Raw genomic sequence first — 15,385 nt, 5'->3', positions numbered from 1 at the left:
ATAGGATTCTCCCAGTTCTTATAACTCTCATCTTGCCTATAATGAATAGGCTGTATAAGATCATGAAGAGCTGAGGAATGTGCCTTTGGTGTACTATGAAACCTAGCTCCTGGTGTGCCCACTTCACATACAATTTAAATAATACAACAATTAAACAGGCAATATTTTATTTTATTATTTTATTTCTTTTTGAGATGTAGTCTCGCTCTGTTGCACAGGCTGGAGTGCAGTGGTGTGATCTCTGTTCACTGCAACCTCCACCTCCTGGGTTCAAGCGATTCCTCTGTCTCAGCCTCCCAAGTAGCCGGGATTACAGGCACCTGTCACCACGCCTGGCTAATTTTTGTATTTTTAGTAGAGACAGAGTATCGTATATTGGTCATGCTGGTCTCGAACTCCCGGCCTCAGGTGACCATCCGCCTCGGCCTCCCAAAGTGTTAGGATTACAGGCGTGAGCCCCCGTGCCCAGCCAGGAAATATTTTAGAAAAATAAATCCTAAACTATTTATATGTGCCAGTTTAAATTATGGGATACTACTGCCCCACCAACTATTTTATTTTACTAGATATATTTACTTAAGTATTTTTTAGGCAGTATATTTCATTTTATAAGAATACAAAATAAATATAATGCAACTTAAGGTATATAATAACAGTATGTGAAATTGAAAATTGCTTTAGAATAGGTACTAATTAATGTAGGGTTTTTCTATTTGTTCGTTTTTTGTTTTGAGACAGATTCTTGCTCTGTGGCTGGAGTGCAGTGGTAGGAATACAACTCACTGCAGCCTCGACCTCCTGGGCTCAAGCAATGCTCCCATCTCAGCCTCTGGAGTAACTGAAGTTGCAGACATGTGCCACCATGCCCAGCTAATTTTTATTTTTTGCAGAGATGGGGTCTCACTATGTTGCCCAGGCTGCTCTTGAACTCCTGTGCTCAAGTAATCCTCCCACCTTGGTCTCCCAAAATGTTGAAAGGATAGGTGTGAGCCACTGTAACTGGCCTAATGTAGGTTCTATCTAACTTTACATAATCATGTGCAAATACATCCATTTGTTTAAGTCATCTGAAGGGACTCATGAGAAAATTAAAGGAACAGCTCTGAGTTTTATTGGATGGCTTAGTCTAGCTTTTAGTCTCTAGATGAGGAAGGAATGGTATTGGCTCCCTGCAATTTTTTATTTGCTGCCAGTCAGTATATTAAACTTTTATGACAAAGTGCATAGCAACCAGTGATACTAAAAAAATGAATGCGAATTTCTGTACGACATTACCCAGATCAGCAACTACTCCTGGTTTTCTCTTGCTAAATGAGAAAAATAAAATATAAGAAAGACCTTGATATTTCTTGGGATTGAACTTTATGTGTATGGAATAACATGATCTTTCTACAGCTTGGTGTTTTTTTTTCTCTTTTTTATGTTATTAAAGTTTGCTCAAATTTTGCAGGATTACTCAAATTTTTTTTTGAGTAATTTGCAAAATTTTTTGAGTAATTTGCAAAATTTTTTGAGTAATTTGCAAAAATTTGCTCAAATTTTGCAGGATACGTCTGTTAATATTACTGTTTTCATGCTATTTTCTGTCATAGTTTATGTTTTGTCATCACTTTGATCCCATCACCTTGATTTGCATGTTCCCTTGTTTAAAGTGATACATAAAATAAGTGACTGTGCCTCACAAGGATTAAAAATTTTTTCCTTGACATAATTGTTCAATCAGAATAATGTTGTCCTTATTTCAGTCCAATGCTATCATTATCTAAGGAAATTTTGCATAAACTACTTCATGTGTTCTATTAGATATATATGTGAGCATATCGATATGTGTATATGTGTGGGTGTATATGCATTCAGTGTAAAATAATGTATTGAGAGCACGTATCTATCTATAGGTTCTCTCAACACACCAGTGATATAAGTATAAAAATTTTTGTTTGCCATGAAATAATTCATATCAGTCGTGAAAACCCTAGTGGCTGTCACCAGTAGATAACATATTTTGGAGAATTCCTGAAAGGCAGAAAAGGTAAGATTTTATTAATGGATATATGGGACACAGGAAACCACAGATGAAACTTACAGGTGAGAAAGCTGTAAGCAGAGATAGGAGCCATAGGTTCTGAAACTGCATTAAGTTCAGAGTGAGCCGGTCCTAATCATCCCAGTGGAGTTGTCTAGAGGGCAGCCATCAGCAGAGCTAATCAGAGGGTTGTCTGTATCATACAGAAAATACCAGGAAGGTAAATCCTCCCAATTTCCCTCTCCACTACCCGAGTTTACAGAGCTCTGGCTGCAGCACTTGGCCTGACCTGTGTTAAGACACAAGAAAGCTGCTTTCTAAAGACCGTGGAAGACATATGATGTGGCTGTTGGGCTTGGAAAGAGGACTAGTAGGATTCAGCATAGAAAAGTAAACCAATAAATGCAGGTCCATAGCTCCACTGAGGGCTAAAGTACAGCAAAACTGCTCCCCCTGGAGTGAAGTTCATCTTAACTTTGTAAATTACGCGAGCCCTGAGCTGGTGTCCTGTCTTCTCTCATGCTTCCCCATGCTCCATAAGAGAAAGCCCAGGTCGCAGTGAAAATCACTCTTGTCCCATGGCCCTCTCTTATGCCTCCCATTGGAGGGAAAGTTATTTTGGGTAAAGAGTAGGAAGAGATAGATGTAAAAAATAAACAAAACAATTGACTAGAGGAACTACAGGAAGTCAGTGAACCTAACAGAAATATATTACCAATTACAATTAATATTCTTAGAGAAAGGTGAGAGAATATCATATTCATAGTACAAGACAAGGCTACTATGAAAGAGGAGAAAATGTAGAACCAAAATAAGTATTTCTTGCTAATTAAAAATATGATTGTCAAAATACATAAAAAATCAGTAGAAAATCTGATATAATAGACACTGACATCCATTACAGAATAAATGAAGAAGGGAATACATGAATATATGAAGAAAAATTTACAATTAGATACATTATTCTGAAATTTCAGACCTTCAAATATAAAGAGAAAATTCAATTCTCTGGAGAAGAAATGAGAATATCTAGAAACACAAAATTTTCACCTTGGTATCAGACTTCTAAGAGTGTTATTAATTGCTAGAAACTAATGAAGCAAAGCAAATACTCAGAATTTGAATCTGAAAAGTATAAATCAGATATGAGAACAAAAGAAGCATATTTTTGAGATTTGCGAAGACAGAATGTTTAGTTTTATACAAATCTTTAAAACACTTACTTAACATCATGATACAGTAAAACAATAAAAGAGAAACCCAACAAAAAAGAAAATATTAGATCCAAGCAGTAAAAGTAACCCACATTTTATTTGAAAAACAATCTCAGAAAGACATATGTACAGCTGACATAGACTTTTATCTGTCCAATTTAGACCAAGAAGTAAAAAGAGCTTTTTAAAAGATACCATTTTGGACTTATGGAAGAAAAAAATTGAGAGAGTTAGAAGCCTTAATAAGATGAACCTGTAGTTCTCTTATTTCCAGAAGGTAATGAAAAAGTGATTGGATATTCTAGGAAAAGAAAAACGAGAATGTCATGATTCAAATATGAAACAAACTAAGATGTGACGTGATGAAATGGAAAGGAATCTATTTGATCTTAATGCCTGGAAATTCCATGTTAAGTGGCATAGATTTATGTGGATAGAATTATGCCTCAGTTTCTGATTCCAGTCCTATTCAATTCTTTGTGGAACAACATTTGGATCATTCAAATGTAAAGGAATAATGATTTTCAGTGTTTTCAAATTTAGAAATATTCCAGAAGAGCCCAGGTATGGTGGCTTATGCCTGTGATCCCAGCACTTTGGGAGGCTGAGGCGGGTAGATCACAGTGTCAGGAATTCACTACTCTGATTTGCTCAGAAAAAGGCTAAGATGGTGAAACCCCATGTCTACTAAAAATACAAAAATTAGCCGGGCGCGGTGGCGGGCACCTGTAATCCCAGCTACTCGGGAGGCTGAGGCAGGATAATTGCTTGAACCCGGGAGTTGGAGGTTGCAGTGAGCTGAGGTCACACCACTGCACTCTAGCCTGGGTGACAGAGCAAGATTCTGCGTCCAAAAAAAAAAAAAGAAAAGAAAAGAAATATTCCAGAAAAATAATGTACCTGTTTTGAACATTGATAAAAGAGTTTGCAGATATGGAAAGAAAGGAGAGAAGTGGTACCAGAGAAGTGTTACTATTTCTTCATCTAATGTACTGGGTAATCAACGTGTACTACTTAATTTTGTTGAATCAAAACTAGAGAATAAATTTTCTTAGTTAAAATTATAAAAGTAACTGCTAACAGAACTAAAATAATAATATAATAAATTAAAATCTGGAGATAGGTGACAGAAAGGGAAATTAAAGTTGTGTAAGAAGGATAATAATTATATTTCATATCAGAAAAAATGTATATTTTAAATTTACTAGTCAGTAAAGTTAGAAATATTATTTATAATTATGATAAAGACTATCAAAACAGAAAGGGTTAAAAATGTTTACATTTCAAGAATAGAGGAGGAAGTAGGGTGAGGGATGCAAAATATTTTATTTCTTTATCTTTTTTAGCATGGTGCATTTATTTCTGTTATGATTTACAAATATGAGTTGCAAACCAGATATTAAGGAGCCCCAATAAGATAGTGTTAAAATTCCTATGTCCAAGATGTTTTCAAATATAAGTAGCAGAAACTTTGACTCATACTGGCTTAAACCATAAAGGCCTTTATTATGTCAATAATTCAAAACCCCAGGGGAGGATGGATATCAGGAAAGGCACTTTATATAGTTGGCTGACTGTTTCAGGTTGTTTTAGTAGCTCAGTCATATCATGGGTATTATAATTTCTTTACATGTAAATATCATAATGTTCTCAGAAGTTTGGATTTGCCCTTAGAACCACTCATTTAGTAACAAAAGGGCTGTAGGAGTCCCAGGCATTCTACCCAAAAATCGCAATGCCATAGGAAGAAGAGGTATTTCATCTTCTCATAATTTCTTCTCAGAAGTTAGAAAATATCTCCCAAAAGTTTCCCTTTTTTCTCACTGGCAATAATTGGGTCACATACTCTTTCCTATATGAATAAATAACACAAACATTGCTACTACTCTGATTTGCTTAGAAAAAGTATGATCCAAGAATACGGCCATTTTTCTTTGGAACCTAAAAATGTAGAGTAAGAAGTCCTTTAACAGAACCATTATTCTAATAGAAATAAAAACAACCAAATGGATGCTGAGTGGGCAAACTAATGTGTTCTCAAGTGTTCTAAGCAGAATTATTGATGCAGTGGAGACTAGAAAATTCCTAAATTTTAATCCATATTCCCAAATCACCTGCTAATCTGGGTCTGAATTTCCTCACCTATGAGATCAGAATGATTAGCTAGGTTGGAGGTTCTCATGCTCTAGCATACATCAGAGCCACCTGGAAGGTTCATTACAACACCAATTATAGGTTACCAACCTCAGAATTTCTGATTCAGTAAATCTGGGTGTTAAAAGTTTGCATTTCTCACAGGTTCCCAGGCAATGCTGATGTTGCTGGTCTGGGAACTACACACTGAGAACCATTGACCTAGGTGATCTTCTTTGTGAAGACTCATCTCAGAATCCCTGGTGACTGGCCTAGTGACTAAAAATTAACAGGTCCAGAATTATTACTATTACTATTATTATTTGAGATGGAGTCTCACTCTGTCGCCCAGGCTGGAGTGCACTGGCGTGATCTTGGCTCACTGCAACCTCCACTGCCTGGGTTCAAGTGATTCTCTTGCCTCAGCCTTCCAAGTAGCTGGTACTACAAGTGTGTGCCACCACGCCCAGCTATTTTTTTTTTTTTTTTGTATTTTTAGTAGAGACAGGGTTTCGCCATGTTGGCCAGGCTGGTCTCGACCTCCTGACCTCAGGTGATCCACCTGCCTCGGCCTCCCAAAGTGCTGGGATTACAGGCTTAAGTAAACCACTCTACCTGGCCCAGAATTATATTTTTTAAAAAGAAACTTACTTGCTTTTTGTCTGCCATTTCCAACAGTGCTTTTATACCTACTATGGCTACTCAATTAAAGACTTGCTTTAAATACTGTTAAATAAGTATAGAAGTATTATTTTCAAGTATTTTTCAAGGAAACTATATGACATTTCAACTACATTGTGACCTACTTTACAAACTCTCATTGGGTACTTTATTATAATTTGTACATAACTTTGTTATAATTTAATAGACTTGCTAAGAAATAAATTTATGGAACTCAAAAAAAAAAAAGAAACTAAATACGTATATTCTGTTTCTAACCTTCAGTAAATCTTAGTTTTTCTCTAGATCTAGATTTATCACAACTACAAATTCTATTTTTCTTTCCAATTAAAAATTTACTGTTGCCTACATTCCCTGAATAATCTTGTACTATTAAAATAATTTGATATTTATTAATTCCCTGGTTTGATCTTTATTCACCCACCTGCCTGCGTTATGTAAGTGCAACAATATGTCTGATTTTTAAAAAAAATTTTAGAAATCAAGCACTTAATACTAACAAAATTCTATAACCTGAATTCCTCCAGTGCTGTTTTGTGGTGACCAACATGTAGCCAAAAGCCTATTACTACGCCTCAGGCTTCTCGCTGTGGGGAATTATTTCCTAAGCTTATTTGACTACAGAACACATTTAAACATTGGCAGAATATCAAGCAAAGCTCATGAGATGTAAGGTTCATTTGGATTAAAATGGAGAAATAAATGATCTCACAGATGAATTCTCTGCTATAAGAAATAACTGAGTTCTCATTTATATGCTTTTTAAGAAACATTATAAAGATAATTTAGAACAATTAAGTAATATTAATTATGATCAAAAAGAACAAAGTAAAGTAAAATAATTCACTTTATATGTTGATATGAAAACTAACACAAAGAACATTTTAATGAGACCAGTCCTTTTAAGTGATTTCTTCCTTTATCGTTAATATTATGAATAATTTTATTGAATTATGTTTTTATACTGGACAAAACATTGTGTTTGTTGGGGATGATTTCTTTCCACTTTAATGCTGCATAACAGTCTTGTTTGCAGACATCTGCTGCATCAGAAATAATAAAACAGACTATGGTTCAGCAATGGAATACCTTTGAATTAGGGTTTTCCAGAAACTATTTATTAATTTCTATTAGACCGCTTGGCTTCTGAGATTTTGAAAAACACAGTCTTTAATTGTTAATCTTTCCTTGATTTATTCTATTCAATGCCAAGAAACTGTTTTGTATCTAAAAGTTTTATTTATTTATTTATTTATTGAGACAGGATCTCACTCTGTCGGCTAGGCTGGAGCATAGTGGCATAATCTCAGCTCACTGCAACCTCTGCCTCCTGGACTCAAGCAGTCCTCCCACTTCAGCCTCCTGGGTAGTTGAGACCACAATTGTGTACCACCATGCCAAGCTAATTTTTTGGGGGGGAATTTTTTGTGAAGATGAGCTTTCATTACATTGTTCAGGCTGGTCTTGAACTCCTGGGATCAAGCTATCTACCTGCCTTGGCCTCCCAAAGTGCTGGGGTTACAGGTGTGAGCCACTGCACCTGGCTGAAACTTCTTTTTTCACCCACAGATCTTTGTGTCTTATAAATATTAGACTTTGAATAATATTGAATAACAAACATATATTAAAATTGCAAACTAAGACATACTATAGACTGCTAATCATTAAAACAAAGACAAATCAAGGAATTGCTTCTTTGATGAATGATGCTTAAAAATTAATTGAATTGGCCAGGCACAGTGGCTCAAGCCTGTAATCCCACCACTTTGGGAGGCCTAGGCGGGCAGATCACGAGGTCAGGAGATCGAGACCACCCTGGCTAACACAGTGAAACCCCGTCTCTACTAAAAATACAAAAAATTAGCCAGATCCAGTGGCAGGCACCAGTAGTCCCAGCTACTCAGGAGGCTGAGGCAGGAGAATGGCGTGAACCCAGGAGGCGGAGGTTACAGTGAGCCGAGATAGCACCACTGCAGTCCGGCCTGGGTGAAAGAACGAGACTCCGTCTCAAAAAAAAAAAAAAAAAAAAAGTTAATTGAATTTTAGTTAAGAAGTGGCTATTCATTCATTGGCCAATTTCTACTGTGATTTCTTTGTATCTGGTGTGCATGGCATATTATGTAACTATAATAACTATACATGTTTTCGGTATTATTTTTACATAACTTCAAAACCTATTTTAGTTAAGATTATTATTATTGTAAGAATCAACTGTAGATAGATGCCTGTGGGTACACATTAATATTTCATAGAAACATTGGGGACCAGGCTGGAATTGGAGAAACTGTATAGCACTAAGATTCATAAGACTCACTTGACTTCCAGTGACACTAACTGACAAGCTTTATTCAAAGCAGTCAAATTATAATTTTGTACCTACTGTAACATCAAAAATGATCTCATAGATGTCATCAATGACTGCTGAGTTGTCATTTAGAATGGTCAATTGTCAATGCTCATTTTATTGGACCTATGAACAGTATTTGCTATTGTTGATCTGTTTCTTCAGCTTGAAATGTGTTATTCCCCTTGGATTCCAGTTTACCACTTGTGGTTCTTTTCCTGCTTCACTGGCTGTTCCTTTTCAGTCACTTTGCTTTTCATTTTCCTGATATCTAATGTTGGAGTGTCTCAGGGCTTAGATCTTGGTCCTCTTTTTTTCTCTATCAACATCCATATACATCAGTTTCATAAGTGACATCTTCTGGTTCTATCTATACGCCAATGGCAAGTGTGTGTGTGTGTGTGTGTGTGTTTGTGCACGCGCCCGTGTATGTGTGTGTGTATCTCCGGCATTAACTTCCCCTATGAACTCTAAACTGCTATAAACAACTACCTTCTCACACTGCATAGTAGATGTCTAATAGGATTCTAAATTAGAATCTGTCAAAGACCAAACAAATTAATCATTCCCTTCAAGGCTGATTGTCCCACAATCTTCTTATGACAATAAGTAACAGCCCTATTATTCTAGTTGCTTAGACCTACAAACCTGGAGATATCCATGACTTAATTCTTTTTCTCACCATCAATTCTTCTGAAATTGCTGTTAGATTTATATTCAAAATACATCCAGAATAGAAATATTTCTTACCATTTCTACCCCTACCACGTCCATTATCTCTCACCCTGTATGGCTAAAGTAGCCTTCTAAACTGGTCTTTCTGCTGTCTTGACACTCGATGGCAATCCAGAGTGACCTTTAAAAAATCATATTCAAGTCATATCAGCTTCTCTGCTCAAAACCCTCCAGAGGCTTCCTGTCTCATGCAGGGAATATAAGAGTTATTTTCCATGGCCTGCAGGGTCACATAATCTACCTCTATTACCTCACTGATGCTCTGACTCCTTCTCTGTAGCCACCATGGCCTCCTAATTGTTTCTCAAACATGCCCAGAGAACTCTTCTCTCATGACCCTTGCCCTTGTTCTATGCTCTCCTTGGAGCACTCTTCCTTCTCCAGAAGAGAATTTATTTTAGGTCTATATTAAAAGGCAACTTCTGTAATCCCAGCACTTTGGGAGGCCAAGGGAGGCAGATCACCTGAGGTCAGGAATTCGAGACCAGCCTGGCCAACATGGCAAAACCCTGCCTCTACTAAAACTATAAAAATTACCCAGATGTAGTGGTGTGCACCTGTAATTCCAGCTACTCCAGAGGCTGAGGCAAGAGAATCGCTTAAACCCAGGAGGCAGAGGTTGCAGTGAGCTGAGATCTCGCCACTGCACTCCAGCCTGGGCGACAGAGCAAGACTCTGTCTCAACAAAATAAAATAAAATAATAAAATAAAAAGGCAACTCATACAGACTATTCCACCTAAACTTATACCTTCACCTCAGCTTTTTCACTCACCACTTATTTTTTCTTTCTTCTTTTTTATAACTCAGCATGACTCAAATGCGCACAAACACAGTAGCAGTTTGTGACAGCTCCATTTTTCTGTTGTTCAGGCCAAAAATGTTCATTTTTTAAAATTTATCTTTTTCTCCCTCATACTCTTCACTCAACCCCATCAACAAATGATATTGGTTCTGCTTTAAAAAGATATTGATGTACAGACAATTAGATGTAGACATATACCTCTACGTAAGCTGTTACCACTTCTCACCACATTTGCTGCCATCATTGTTTTACCTGGATTATTGCAATTGCATTCTCACTGACATCTCTGCTTATGTCCCTGATCCTCTTTAGTCAGTTTACCATAAAGTAGTTTGAGTGATCTTATTACATACAACATACATCACATCACTCTACTAATGAAAACCCCTAACAACTTTTCTTTTTTAATCAAAATAAAAGCAATCCCACTGTTATAAAAAATGAGACGTTACCTGGTCTCCCAGGGCTATTAATTTCCTGAGTGCATTTCCACTCTCCCTCCACCTTGTTTCCCTTACTCCAGCCATGCTGGCTTCCTGTGGTTCCTTCAACATGGAGGACATGTTTCAGCCCCAGAGTCTTTGCACTTGCTTTTCCTCCTCTGTCAGAAAAAGTCTTCCATCAGATATCGAAGGAAGTGCTTCCTCCCTTCCTTTAAGGCCTGTATTCCGGTGTCATCTTCTCAGTAAAACTTGCCTGGCCAGTCTGCCAAATTTCATTCCTCCCTGAATCTCCTTTTTGTTCTTTAATTTTTTAATTTATTGAACATATGATAATTATTTACTGATTTACCTTGTTTGTTTCCTCTTTCCTTACCAGATTGGAAACCCCAGTAGGGCACAAGTTATTTGCCTATTTTGCTTTCTTTTCTATTGTTTTTGATGCTATATTCCCAGTTTTTAGAACCATGTTTGGTACATAATAAGCATTCCAACAATAAAATATTGTTGGAAGAACAAATTGATTATTGGATATGTTTAGGTATATATTATGTCCCTCCTCACTAGAAGGTAAGCTCCATGAATACAAGGGGGAGATTTGGCTCTCTATCACATCTACAGAAATGAAAAGGATGCTTAGACCACTGAAGGATTCAAGAAATATTTGTTAAATGGACAAACCACCACCATCAACTTGACTTCACTGAGCCTCAGTGTCCCCAGATGGAAAATGAGAGGCTTAGACTAGAATCTAGGCACTTACTTATTAGATGAACTCCAAAAACTTTTCTGTTGTGATATTTTGTATCCTCACAGCCTTCTCTTTAGTCATCAACTTCCTGTGGATAGAGCAATCAATAGTAACTGAGATACCAAAATACTGAAAATGCTGTGTCCAAAAAGAAATATTCTGCGATGCAACTGCTCAGCAAATTTCTAAAAAAAAATAACCATTATTTTGGGACTGTGTTTGAAGCAATTGTTGCTCTTGGCCATGGAATGCCAAGATCCGATAACCCAGTTGAAAATAAATGGAGAGCTTTAACCTAGTCCTCCAAAATGCTCCAAATAGAACTTGTCTTTCTCAATATTTTTTTAGGAGGCAGTTATACACATATGTATGTGCATACATATATATATGTACACAGAATATAGCTTTATTAAGGGTTATCAAAACCAATTCTGTATTTCTTATTAGTTGTGTCAAGTTAGCACAACCTTGTGATGGGAGCATGATGGAACTGCTTAAGCTTTTATTTGGGAATTAATAATCTGCTTAAAAACCTGTGGCCAGGCTTGAAAAATACCAGCTCCCTGGTTTAATTCCTTTCTTCTCCCTTTGAAACATGCCTTTATGCAGTATTTGCTCTACTCAAATTGTCTATTTACTGTTTCCCTTGTTTCACTTTCGGGTATTGCATAAGTTTTTCCTCTGTCCTCTGATACTCTCCCCAAACTTCCCTCCATGAAAATTGTTCTGCTTCTCTAGTACTTAGAACTGCACAATCCAGTGTGACAGCCACTAGCCACATGTGACTATTTAAATATAAATTAACTAAAATGAAATAAAATTTTAGTTTTTCAATTCCACTAAGTGCTCAGTTGCCATATATGGTCAATGCCTATAGCATTAGACCGTGCAAATATCAAACATTTCCATTATCACAGAAACTTCAATTAAAATTAAAATGTAGCTAGCAAATACACATTTTTTTTTGTTTTTTCTCCTTGGAGAATAATTAAGAAAGTCTCTAATTTCCATATGTCAAGAAATATTGCCATGTCAGATACAAGGCAGATATGCTAAGTTAATTAAATTGCAGTCCTATTCTTGTCTAATTACTCAATCCAGCATTGAATAAAGTTGATCTTCTTTTGCCCTAACAAGATTAGGTATATTGTATTGATTTTGAAAAGTTACTTGCCTCTTCAAATGCTCCTTTTGTCATGGTGGATTGACTTACCCACCCAGGGAGACAGTAACGTGCTAAATTTCATAAGGGTGCCTTGTAAGACAATTAAACTTACGTGTGCATGCAATCTGATGAGAAAAATATAAGGTGGATCCCTAGGCAAATAATAAACCCCAAGTGACATCCCTTGGTCCTGAAACTACTTTCGTTTCACTACTTCTTCCCTCTTATGCTCAGCTTCCAAGTCATTGAAAAATATCTTTTCTAATGAGAAAAATACATGTGTTTTGGGGAAACAGAGATTTCACATTGCAGTGAGGTACAGTGAGTATCTAGTGAGTATACTAGGGTGATTTTGCTTTAACCCCCATTTTATTTAAAAAAAAAAACTAATTCATTTTAATTTGAGGACCTGCATTAACAGCACAGAATTTTATAAATATGAGTCCCATAAGGGAAACTGTAGCCTCACTCATGACAAATATTCAAAATGACAAACACAGGTAAGAAAGTGACATGTTCAAGTCTAGCATGATTTATTGTTTTTCTAAGACGTTTTCCATAAGAATAAAAATACATTTACAATTCAAGCTGGTAACTACACAAAGTAATGTGAAGTTTTAAAGAGATCAAATACACACTGTGTTCTTACTTACATTTCAAGATACATCTAAACAAAGAATGTTTTCCTTTTCCCTTTTTATGCTTCCTGTTGTGTGCATTATATAAATGTCTGCTGTTTTAATATACTTGCTCAAGGACCATAGCTGTGTTTTAGTTGATTGTAAAGAGACATTGTGACCAAATTGCACAATCACAGACAAACTAGCCTACACACTACCACAGTGAAAAAAAAAATAGAGCACCTTAGGTAAAGGCCCTTAGAATTTATATTAATTGCTATGTAGAAGAGTAAAAGACAACATGAATGGTAGCACAGAGAAATTTTGCTGCCACTGATGACTCTTTCCTATAAATGACAGATAGAGAAGTATTAACATAACTACTGCCTATACCTGCTCGTTAAGACACGGCTAGCCTAACCACATATGGTATCCTCCATAATTTATCATAATATGTAGAAGTGTTACCTTCAGGCAGCTGATATTATGGGAAACAATTAAATAAAACACTATGGTGCTATCTCTGTGGGTAGAAAACAACTGAGGAATTCAAGTATCTGACACACCCAATGGGGCAGCCAGAATCTGCCTATCTGGCATCCTCATGGCTGAATTTACAGGGTGTGCCATTTAAATTGTAGATTTCATTTGCAGTGGGATAGATGTGAATGCAATGACCTAGCCCTTTACTCATCAATAAAGATTTTTCTGCATCTTTCTCTCACTGAAATATTATTCCTACAGTTAGGATTTCCATACGAATCAACCCTGTAAGGGCTATGGAACCAAGACACACACAGCATGAACATGTCTTTCCTTGTGTGCTTCCATTTTTGAAGCTGACACGAAATAGCAATACCGGGAATAATGAGGGAAGCTGCATTGGATGCTGTGGCTTAGAAAAGTGACAATGTTAGTGAGAAAGCCACAGCACAAGGATCCCAAGGTGAATTAAAGAAACAACAAACAAAACAAAACACCAACTAAGAATAGTGACCAGAGACTTGAAGATCCAATGTGTTGTTTATCGAAGGCTGCTGTTTTAATCAAAAAGAGAAAGATTTTACCAGTCACTTTGGGCTTAAATGTCATGATATTTTCTGGGTGAAATTAGCCAGACATCATTCTTATGGAGGTGTTTTATTATTATCACTTGGTTTGAGATTTTTCTCTTAAAGGAAAATCTCAGAATCCTTTGACCTGTGCAGAGTCCTTTGACCTGTGCATATTGAAGGAGTTTAAGTCAAATTTAATCTCTATCTCAAACCATTTTCTATGATGATGGTCATTCAAGAGCTATTACTGCATCCTTAAAGCCCACCAGTGTTGAAGTTTCTCTTAGCCAATTCCCTTACAGAACAATAAACTTCATAGGAAGATTGATGCATTTGAGCTATAATTTGAGAAATTCAGCTCAGCTCTGGAATCTGGGCCAATGCATTTAATTGAGAACACATTTAAATTTCTTTGATATTTCTTTATAGCAAAGCATAATACCTCAGGGGAAAACATATTTCATCTAAGTTACATTAACTTTGTTAAATAAGTAAATACCCACTTACCTGTAAGCAAAAGAAATGGACAAAATATAAGCTACTGGCTTTATCCTCCTTGCATCCAGAATAAGCAATTTCTTTTCCATAGAATTATTTTCAATCAGCAATTAGTCATGCTGAATAAATATTTTATGTAGAGGCCTTAAGAAACAATTCAGTTTTCCTATAAAAGTAATTGACTCCTGTCTATTTTCAACTCTTGAAAAATTGTCTTGGCTTCCCTTGATTGATTAGAATGTGTACAGACAAAAACAGCACAGCTCCCACCATTATCCTGTTTCCTAAGTTATGGTCATGCATGGCCTGGAATAGAGTTATAATGGCTATAAAGTTCATTACACAAGCTATAGAGTGAAGAAAACTTAGGCATTCTATAGTTGGATTTGTTGAGCCTAGTGTTTTCGATATGCAAAGAGTTAATTTAAAGGGCTATTTTCTTCTGTCTTAAAGGATAGGGTTTGCATAGTAACATGTTCAGGTGCACATGAAGACTACTCCATAGGAGAAAACAGTTCCACAGAGTCTCACTATGACAGCATCATTGCCCTCACAGTGAGAAATTTGTTGGCATTGAAGGAGGAGAAAGAGGAGTTATGAGACAAAGTTTCCATAGTGAAAATAATGAATATAAAATAGGAGCATGGTACTACTCTAAGCTGTTCTGAAAAAAATACTAATTTTTAATCTTTCTTTTAGATGCTACAGTAGGCTTGTGTAAAGTTTCTATAGCATTGAGAAGTTGTGAATGACACATTTATTTGATATGTAATTTATTTATTTATTCATCTATATATTTATTTATTAAATGTCCAGGTTGTTCCAAAAAGTATTAATGATAATAAAATAAAATCTAACAGAATTTTTTTAAAGTGAAAAGAGATTGGCAAATGGAAAAATAAGAACTGAAAAGCAGTAAGATA

The sequence above is a fragment of the Homo sapiens genome, chromosome 9 (assembly GCF_000001405.40).
Source record: "Homo sapiens chromosome 9, GRCh38.p14 Primary Assembly".
In the NCBI taxonomy this organism is placed as follows: Eukaryota; Metazoa; Chordata; class Mammalia; order Primates; family Hominidae; genus Homo; species Homo sapiens.
The sequence above is the reverse complement of the archived record's forward strand: the minus strand, read 5'-3'. Positions refer to the sequence as shown.